At 40.0% G+C, this 11064-nt stretch overlaps 1 annotated feature.

The window, feature by feature from the left end:
- Positions 1076–1576: an enhancer, noted in NCBI's record as "H3K4me1 hESC enhancer chr2:130616037-130616537 (GRCh37/hg19 assembly coordinates)". NCBI's record gives its function as "activates a minimal SCP1, AML or CMV promoter by ChIP-STARR-seq in naive H9 embryonic stem cells {active_cell/tissue: H9 hESC(naive)}" and the evidence as "EXISTENCE:reporter gene assay evidence [ECO:0000049][PMID:30033119]".

Here is an 11064-nt window from a genome sequence, read left to right as displayed (position 1 = left end):
GATAACTTAATCCACATTTAAAGGACTTCCTTGGATGAAGGACACTGAAAGTTTAAACTTTGCAACCTGTCTTTTTACTACCCTTTTCTGTTCATCTTACATCAGCTTAATGGCATAAACTAGTCATAATACGGCAGGTATTTGAAGACACAAAAACCATAGTCCTGTGTTTGGAAACTATTGTTCTTCAAGAAAATATATGCCACTCTGCAAGAAGCCAGATGTCTTTCCACTGGGGCACATCTGGTTGATGGTGGCACTGCTCATGTCCTCTCTGTCCAGGTTGACCACATGCCCCAGGTGGCAGACCACATCCAGTTTTGCCTGTTGTTATAGCATCATAATAGGGCCCCCATTCACTCTCAAAAGTGTCCCCTTTTGGATCACCCTATATGGTCACCCTGCATCTGGTTGATGTGATATTAGTAAGCATAAAGTGATCTTTGAGGAAGCCTGACCACTTATCCACTGGGGGACTGGAGTCTGTGAGAAATATTGACTTTATTTTAAAAGACTTCAATACCTTCAGACACATTGATTTTTGACGACATGAATTGTATGTATAAAGAGTGTTCAGTAAGATCAGAGAGAGTAATTGAAATCACATGAATCACAGAGGCATGGAGTCTAATATGGCAAAACCACGTTCCATCCTCTCGTCTCGGACATCAGCAGCTCCACCTAATGGTTCTCTGGACCTGATGAGCCCTGAAAGCCCTCCGTTAGGTGAAGACGGAGCTCACAGCTCCGGGCCTCAGGCTGTGCCTTTCCTTATCTCTACTGCTTTTCAGGAGACGCTGACAGCCCCTCCCTGGTTAGCCTGGTGCTTTCTGCCATGCGCCTGTGACATGTCTGCAACTGCCACTGCTTGGAATCTTCAGTGGCGCCCCTGCCTTCAGTGTCCTCTGCCCAGCTCCATCAGGGTGTCTGTTTCTTTGACCTCTACCAGGAGATGTGGGGCATCTGCCGTCCAGATCCTAGGCAGGTGGAGGGATAGGCAGGTGTGGGCCCTCATTTGGGGTCGGTGGGCACTCAGAGCCAGCGTCTGCAGGTGGAACTCCAACCCCACACCCATTGGCTCTGTGACCTCACAGGCTTCATAACCTTGCTGTGCTTCAGTTCCCTAGGCTGTCAAATGTCTAATAGTTGCTACCTCCCAGGGTGTCACAAGGATTAGAGGGGTTATGACTGTGCTCAGTGTACAGGAAGGGTCACCCCCACGCCTGCCCCAAAGCCTGCCTTACTCACCCCTGGTGCCCTACGGGAGGTGCTCTCTGTTGTTCAGACAGGGACGTTTCAGTTTGGAGAGACAGACTTGCTGGGAGACAGACCTCCCTAAGGAGGTCACTAAGTGTGGCCTGGAACCCCAGGTATGGAAAGGTGTCCTGGTGCTGGGAGGAGAGAGGTCCCACAAGCCTCCAGGCTGGGTGCCTGATGCTCTCCTCTGGAGGTTTCCTCACGCATGACAACACTCCTGCTCCCAGCGCCCAGCTGGGCCTCTGAGCTTGGGAAAGGTGGACGGCTGCTGGGCTGGCAGCCCGGAACCTCATCTCCAGAGGGCACAGCTGAGTGAGGGGTGAGATTGGGTCTTCCTGCCACCCTGCAGGGCCCTGGCAGGCTCTCTCCTGCCTTTCCTTCCCTCCACCTGGGACCCCACGCCCGGCTCCCCTGACCTCTCCTCCTGTTCTCTGTGCAGTTGTTCTTGTCCAGGCTGCCTCTTACTGAGGCCTATCATGGCAACATACCAACACCAAGCGCTTTGCAGGAGGTCAGGGTCTCCCCAGCCCCTAACCCCACAAGACTGTCAGCTGCTTGAGGCAGGAATGTGCCTGTTGCCCTCACTGCCCAGCTCCCTGCCAGCACCTACCCCAGACCCTGTCAGTTGCAAGAATGGGGGACATCACCAGAGTCTCAGTCATTGTTTCTGAATATGGGGAAACAGTCCCACCTGGTATGGTTGTTATGAGAATAGTGAATCTCTCCTAAGGACCATGCCTGCAACAGGAAGGCTCACAGCAAATACCTGCTGCTACTATTACTCTCTTAGTTCATAGAGAGGCACAGTGGCCACCCGGGACCCCCCTGCCTTTCCACACTGCCTATTAATTTCCTCTTCCTATGCACCCGCTCTTCCAGTGTATGCAGCCCGCTGTGGAGGGGTGGTGGGGGGGTGGGAGACTGGGGGCATCGTGGTCTGTGCATGCCAGCTTTCCAGCTCATGTGGAGGCTTTTCTTCAGCACAAACTACCATCTCTCATAATGGAGCAGCTGCTGCGGGTATTTCTTGTTCTTTCCAAGCCCTTTGGTGGCTGTTGAGAGTGTGGTCTTGACCGGGAGTGGCATCTGAATTAGGGATAGAAACCAAGTGATTGAGTGAGGCTGACAGAAGAGTTATTTAGAAAAGTTTCAATAATTACTGCCATTTGCACAGGATTCCCACTAAAACAGGCAACTCTGAAGGCAAAGAGCTGGGAGAGTCTGCTGCAGGGGCCAGTAGGTTGTGGTGGAAAGAGCTTTGTGTGTCTGGAATTAGAAATCTGAGCTCCAGTCCTGTGCCACGAGGCAGGTCCTTCCACCTCTCCAATTCCCAGTTTCCCCCTCTGTAACCACACCCACACTGTGAGAATGAAACTACAAATGCACACACCAGCCCAGGCGCCTGGCACGGCACTGACAGGACTGGGCAGGAATCGCCATGGCAGCTTGTGTTGGCAGAGCACCTAGCAGTATCAAAGGACTGTTTCAGTACAACACTTCTTTTGACCTTTTTAAGAATCCTGTAACATATACAGAGCAGGAACTCTCATCTCTAATTTTTCAGTGAGACAGAGGTTAAGGGCATTCCGCCACAAGATCAAACATTGCAAAAAAGAAATTGGAACTTTTAATCTGACTCTCAGTCCTGTTCATTTCTTTAATTTCTTTTTTATTGAGGGGAGGTCCATATAACATAAATTTAACCATTTTACACTGAGCAATTCAATGGCATTTTGTACATTTAAAATGTTATGCAACACTACCTCTATCTAGTTCCAACATGTTTCAAGGTCATGAATATTTATCCCTATGTTTTATCCTAAGATTTGAAAAAGTGGTTTTAGCTCTTTTACTGTATTTAGGTTCATGGATCTATTCTGAGTGAATATTTGTATATGGTATGAGGTAGGGGGTCCAATTTCATTCTTTTGCATGTGGCATGTGGATATCCAGTTTTCTCAGCACCATTTGTTGAAAGACTGTCCTTTCTCTTTTGAATGTTCTTGATGCCCTTGTAGAAAAGCAATTGTCCATAGACAGTGGGTTTATTTCTGGACTCTCAGTTCTATTCTATTGGTCTGTATGTTTATTCTTATACTAGCACTACACTGTTTTGATTACTGTAGCGTTGCAGTAAGTTTTGAAAATGGCAAGCGGAGTACTCCAAGTTTCTTCTTCTTTTTCAAGATTGTTTTAGCTTTTCATGGCCTCTTAAAATTCCATGCAAATTTGAGAATTGGCTTCTCCATTTCTGAAAAACAGACCATTAACTTTGACAGGGATTGCATAGAATTTGTAGATCACTTTGAGTAGTATTGTCATCTAAACATTGTTAAGTCCTCCAATCCAGAAAGATGAGATAGTTTTCCATTTATTTAGGTCTTTTAAATTTCTTTCAGCAGTGTTTTATAGTTTTTAGTACACAAGTCTTTCATATCCTTTGTTAAATTTATTCCTGGGTATTTTATTATTTTTGATGTCATTGTAAATAGAATTGACTTCTTAATTTCCCTTACAGATTATTTATTGCTGACATATAGATACATAACTGATTTTTGCATGTTGATCTTTTACCCTGCAACTTTGTTGATTAGCTCTAGTACTTTCTGTGTAGACTGTTTGGGATTTACTATGTAGGATCATGTATTCTTTGAATAGAGATAGTTTTACCTTTTCCTCTCCAATTTGGATATTTTAAATTTCCTTGCCTAATTGCTCTGGCTGGCATCTCAAGTACAATGTTAAATAAATAGTGAAAGTAGGCATCCTTGATCTGAAGGTCCTGATCTAAGGGGGAAATCTTTTAGCTTTTTGAATATGCCTGCAGAATATGTCTCTTGGATATGCTGTTAGCTGTGAGTTTTTCATAAAAATTCTTCACCAGATTGAGAAAGTTTACTTCTATTCTTGTTTTCTGACTATTTCTTAATCATAAAAGGTATTAGATTTCATCAAATGCTCATTTCTGCATTGAGATAATTGTGTTTCCTTTTGTTCTAGAAATGCATATTACGCTGATTAATTTTCATATATTGAACCACCTTTGCATTCCCGGGATAAATCCCACTTGGCCATCATGTACAATCCTTTTCATATGTTGTTGCATTTGGATATATAGTATTTTGTTGAGGATTCTGCATCTCTATTCATTAGAAATATTGATCTGTAATTTCTTTTCTTTTTGTGTCTTTGGCTTTGGTATAAGTTAATTCTGACCTCATAGAATACATTAGGAAGTCTCCCCTCTTCTTGTATTTTTTGGAAGATTTTGACAAGAATTGCATTAATTTTTATTTAAACATTTGGTATAATTTACCAGGGAATCCATCTGGTCCTGGGCCTTTCTCTGTTGGGAGACTTTTGATACTAATTTAATCTCTTGTTATATATCTGTTTAGATTTTCTATTTCTCCTTAAATCAGTGCTATGGACAAAACTGTGTCCTTTTCCCAATTAATATATTGACCCTGAACCCCAATGTAACTGTATTTGGAAATGGGGCCTTTAAAGAGCTAATTAAGACTAAATAATGCCAAAAATGTGGTGCCCTAATCCAATATGACTGGTGTCCTTAATAAGAAGAGGAACAGACACCAGGGATGTGTGCACACAAGGAAAAGGCCATGTGGGCACACAGTGAAATGTCAGCTGTCTGGAAGCCAAGGAGAGGGGCCTCCGAAGAAGCTAAACCTGCTGACACGTTGACCTTGGGCTTCTGGCCTACAGAACTGTGAGAAAATAAGTTTCTGTTGTTTATGCCACCTAGTCTGTGGTACTTTGTTATGTCAGCCCTGGCAGGCTAAGATAGTTTTGGTAATTTGTGTGTTTCTGGGAATTTTTTTCATTTCACCTAGGTTATCTAATTTGTTGGTGTATAATTGTTTACAGTATTTTCTTATAATCCTTTAAATTTCTGTCAGGTTTGTAGTAATGTTTCCACTTTCATTTCTGATTCAGGTTTTTGCATCTTTCTCTTTTTTTCTTTGTCAGTCTAGCTAAAACTTTGTCATTTTGTTGATCTTTTCAAAGAACAATGTTTTGGTTTTGTGATTCTTCCTGTTATTTTTCTATTTTGTATTTCATAAATCTCCACTCTAATCTTCATTATTTCCTTCTTCCTGCTAGGTTTAAATTTAGTTTGCTCTTGTTTTTCTAGTTTTTTTAAGTTGTAAAGTTAGGTTATTAATGTGAGATTTTTTCTCTTGTTTTAAATGTAGGCATTGACAGCTATAAATTTTGCCCTGATTACTGCTTTTGCTATATCTCATAAATTTAGATATGTTGGGTTTTTATTTTCCTTTGTAGGAAGATATTTTCTAATTTTTTTGTGATTTCTTCTTTGACCCATTGGTTATTTAAATGTAATGTTTACATATTTGCAAATTTTTCAGTTTCCTTCTGATGTTGATTTCTAGCTTTATTCCATTGTGGTTAGAGAAGATACTTTACATAATTTTAATTTTTAAAATTTATTGAGACTTGTTTTGTGGTCTAATATATGGTCTACCCCAAAGAATGTCCCATGCACACTTGAGAAAAATGTGTATTCTGCTCTTTTTGGGGTGGAGTTTTCTATATATGTCTCTTAGGTCTAGTTGGTGTGTGATGTTGTGCAAACCCTCTATTTTCTTATTGATCTTTTGACTATATGTTCGATTCGTTGTTGAGAATGAGGTATTGAAGTCTCCAGCTATAGAACTACTTTTCCCTTTAATTTTGTCAATGTATGCTTCACATATTTGGGACTGTGTTGCTTAGTGTGTATATGTTTGTAATTGTATCTTCTGATGGTCTTTTAATTACTACATAGTGTTCTTTTTGTCTCTTGCAACAGCTTTTCTTTTTTTTTTTTAAGACAGAGTCTCACTCTGTTGCTCAAGCAGGAGTGCAGTGGTGCAATCATAGCTCACCGTGACCTCCAACTCCTGGGCTCAAGCAGTCCTCCAACTACGCCTCCCAAGTAGGTAGGACTATAGGTGTGTGCCACCATGCTTGGCTAATTAAAAAACTTTTTTTGGTAGAGGTGGGGTCTTGCTTTGTTGTTCAGTCTGCTCTTGAACTCCTGGCTTCAAGCGATCCTCCTGCCTCAGTCTCCCAAAGTGCTAGGATTACATATGTGAACCACCATGTCCAGCCTCTTGTAACAGCTTTTTTTTTTTTTTTTTTTTTTTGAGACGAAGTCTTACTCTGTTGCCCAGGCTGAAGTGCAGTGGCGCCATCTCGGCTCACTGCGAGCTCCACCTCCCGGGTTCACGCCATTCTTCTGCCTCAGCCTCCTGAATAGCTGGGACTACAGGCACCCGCCACCACGCCCGGCTAATTTTTTGTATTTTTTTAGTAGAGATGGGGTTTCACCATGTTAGCCAGATGGTCTTGATCTCCTGACCTCGTGATCCGCCTGCCTTGGCCTCCCAAAGTGCTGGGATTACAGGTGTGAGCCACCACACCCGGCCTTGTAATAGCTTTTGACTTGAAGTGTGTATTGTCTGATCTTTACATAGCTACCCCAGCTCTCTTTTGGTTACTATTTGCATGGAGTATCTTTTCTATACTTTCACTTTTTAAATATTTGAATCTAAAATATCTTAGACAATATACAGTTAGACTATGTTTAAAAGAATCCTTTCTGTTACTATTCACCATTTGATTGGAGAGTTTAAACTGCTTACATTTAAAGTAGTAACTGATAAAATGGGATTTATTTCTGCCATTTTTCTGTCTGTTTTCTCTATGTCTTATACTTTTTGTTCCTCATTTCCTCTATTACTAACTTCTTTTTAAATTTTTTTTTGGTAGTGAACCATTTTGCTGTCTCATTTCCTTTTGTGTATTTTAAAAACATATTTTCTTAATGATTACAATGAGGATTACAATGAACATCCTAAATTTATAACCATCTAGTTTCAACTGATACCAACTCAGTCTTACTAACATATGAAAACTCTGCTCCTATACAGCTCCATCCCCACCTTAAATTGTTGGTGTTGCAAATTACATCTTTATACATTGTGGGCCCATTTACATGGATTTCAATTTGGTATGCATTTATCTTTTACACTATTTAGGGAATAAAGAAGGAGTTACAAATTAAAAAAATGTAATACTGGCTTTGATGTTTAGAAACCTCTCTATTTCTTTATGTCGCTTCGTGTTACTGTTTAGTGTCCTTCCATTTCAGTGTAAAGGACTCCCTTTAGAATTTCCTGTAGGGTAGATATGCTAGTAACAAATTCACTCAGCTTTTGATGGTTGGGAATGTTTTAACTTCTTCATTTTTCAAGATTAGTTTTTCTGGTTATTTAATCTTGGTTTACAGTTTTTTTTTCTTTTCTTTGGTGGTTTAAAAATATTGTCTCACTGCTTTCTGTTCTCCATGGTTTGTGATGGGAAAATTACAGTTAATCTTATTGAGAATCTATTGTACATAATGAGTTGCTTCTGTCTTGCCACTACAAGAGTTTCTCTTTATCTTTGTCTTTGAACTGTTTGATTGTAATGTGTCTAAGTGTGGATCTCTTTGAATTTATCCTACTTGGAGTTTAATATATTTCATTAAACTTAGACAGTTTTCATTCATTATTTCATCAACAGTTCTTTCTGCCCCTTTCTTTCTGTTTTCCTTCTGGGACTTCCATACTGCATATGTTGTCCTGCTTGATAGTGTCTTGTTCTCTTTTTTTCTTCTACTCTTTATATCAGACAATTCCAATTATCCTATCATTGATTTCTCTGATTCATTTTTCGGTGTGTTCAAATCTGCTGTTTAACCCCTCTGGTGAATTTTTCTTTCTCTTTTCTTTTTCTTTTTATTTTTTTATTTTTTTGAGATGGAATCTTGCTCTGTCACCCAGGCAGGAGTGTGGTGGCATGATTTTGGCTCACTGCAACCTCTGCCTCCTGGGTTTAAGTGATTCTCCTGCCTTGGCTTCCCGAGTAGCTGGGATTACAGGTGTGCACCACCACACCAAGCTAATTTTTGTGTTATTGGTAGAGATGGGTTTCACCATATTGGCCAAGTTGGTCTTGAATTCCTGACCTCAGGTGATCCACTTGCCTCGGCTTCCCAAAATGCTAGGATTATAGGCATGAGCCACCATGCCTCGCCAAATTTTTCATTTCGGTGATTTAACTTTTCAGTTCCAGAATTTCTGTTTGGTTTATTTTATAATTTATATCTGTTTATTGATTTTCTCATTTTGTATGTGCACTGTTTTCCTGGTTTTATTTAGTTTGTTGTTCATGGTTTTCTTTAGTTCTTTAAACATTTTAGGATGATTGATATAAAAATTTTGTCCAGTAAGTCCAATACTAAGGTTTCCTCATGGATGGTTTATATAATTTTTTTCTAGGATTGGGCCACACTTTCCTATTCCTTTGTATATCTTGTGATTTTTGTTGTTGTTGCTGAAAATTGGGCATTTTGAATATTACAATGTGGTTACCCTGGAAATCAGATTATCTCCATTCCCTAGAGTTTGTTATTATTTTTTCTTCTTGATGAATGTTGTCCTCTATTTCTTTAGTGATTTCTCCAAACTAATTTTGCAAAGACTGGATTCTTTGTCATTTGTGGTCACTGAAGTCTCTGTTTCATTATCTCAGTGGTCAACAGTGACATTCCAGAGATTTCCTTAAGTATCTGGAGTGAAAGAAAAAAAGAAAGGGAGAAATAAATAAATACATGAATGAAACGAGAAAACAAGAAAGAGAGAAGATACTCGTGTTTTGACTTTTGCAGCTTGGCTCTGAGCTGGGACAGGAGTTCCTTCAGTGCTAAGCCAGGCTTCCTGCAACTATGCCTTAGCTTTTGCCTCTTGCTTGCCTGGAGCCCACAGATCTGTCAGAGGTACAAGCCTGGGGTCCTTTTAGATGTTTTCTCATATGTGTCCTGTTCTGGGCCTGTGTGTTATCTTCTATCTTTGCCAGCATACACAGTAGCCCTTCTGAGCTCTTATTCTTCCAACAACCTTCCTTTTTGGGCTCCTTCTTTTTGGCTTTTGGTCTGCCAGTTGCCTGAGCACAGTTCCCTACACCAGGTGGAAAGAAAAGGTCAAGAAAAAGGTCAATTTAGTCTTCCAGGGAACCATCAGACAGATGAATACACAGTACCATAAAACTTTAAGAATAAACTCTGTATTAACCCCTGGCACCAGAAAGCCACACAGGGAATGCAGCCTTCTGTCATCATGGCTGATGCTGCTGTGCTAGGGAATGGAAGGAAGGTGGATGAGCAAAAATGCCACTAGGCTTTCTTACCAAAGCTAGCTTCCCTTTTCTTTATTAAGCCACCCCTTTGTGGCTGTACATTTGAGATTAGAGCTCAGTGTTTAAAAACGTTGATTATTTCAGTCTTTGACAGCTTATGATTGTTTCAACGGAGGGATCAATTCTTTAAGCAATGTATACCATCATTTTCTGTGACATCATCCCTGGTTGCCTCTTGATGAAAACATTATTCCTTTCTTGCCAGACATGTATTCAAATTAATATTGTTGCTAGATCTTGTGTGGCACAATCAAGATGCCCAATAGTCTTTTGAGGATGTGTAAAAAGAGTTTGTGAAGTCCTCCTCACTTATTTGTAGTTTGCATCTTGGTTAGTGCTAAATAAATGGTGCTCCTGAAGTCCCTGAAGCTGATCTTCACTCATGCACCGTTTAAGCATTCATTCATAGCATTAATTTGTCAAATGCTTTTGAAGGATCAACACTTTTTTTTCAGAAAGAGCAGGTAATGATATGACTCTTTTTATAAAAAATGCACTTTTCAACACCTTTGCCCACTCTTGGTAGGTTTACTCATCCACCTGTACTTGACCATAAGTTACTCAAGTCTTACTGTCGCAGCTTCCAGGCCTGCATAAGCCACGTTAAAAACTGAACTGTTTTGCTTGAAGTAAGGGTGAAGCTTGGAGCCCCCATGCTTGCTTCTTGCTCCTTTCCTGCATGCTTCTGTGGAACCACCTTAGTACAGTTTATTTGAAGATGTAATAGAACTAGACTGCAATATTATACTCCACCAGAAGATGTCACTGTAACATGTGGTTTATACATGCTGAATATATGGTAACGGAATAATGGCGAACCTTCCATTTTCTCAGTGAATCAAAAAGAGAAAGAAAAACGTAGTTTTGGCCAACTTATATATAAAAACTTTGAAGGTGAGAAAGAGATAGTCAATATCTACTCATAATGTTTAATTAACTCATTTAGTTACATATACATATTTGAAATAATATATAGAATCATTAATTTGTAAATATCACTTTATTTTCATTCATATTTCATGGAACAACTTTATGAAAGTTCCTTACATGCTTATCTTTCATAAGTGTCTTTATTGTCACTAGAGACACTTAAAAACCTTTTATTTGAAAATACTTTCAAACTTACAGGAAAGTTGCAAGAATAAGAATAGAACATGGAATATTCATATACTCTTTTCCCACATTCACCTTTTATTAACATTTTGTTCATTTGCTTTATCTTGTTTTCTCTTTCCCTGTCTCTGTGCTATATATCTATATCTATATCTATATCTATCTATATCTATATATCCATTTAGTTATCACTAAATACGTTGGTAAGTATTTCCTAAGAAAAAGCATTCTCACACACTCTTTGGTTCAAATAACAACTTCAGGCCGGGCACAGTGGCTCACACCTGTAATCCCAGCACTTTGGGAGGCCGAGGCGGGTGGATCGCCTGAGGTCAGGAGTTCGAGACCAGCCTGGTCAGCATGGTTAAACCCTCGTCTCTACTAAAACTACAAAAATTAGCCAGGCGGGATGGTGTGTGCCTGTAATCC

Source organism: Homo sapiens, chromosome 2, assembly GCF_000001405.40.
Source record: "Homo sapiens chromosome 2, GRCh38.p14 Primary Assembly".
Taxonomy (NCBI): Eukaryota; Metazoa; Chordata; class Mammalia; order Primates; family Hominidae; genus Homo; species Homo sapiens.
The sequence above is the reverse complement of the archived record's forward strand: the minus strand, read 5'-3'. Positions and strand labels throughout refer to the sequence as shown.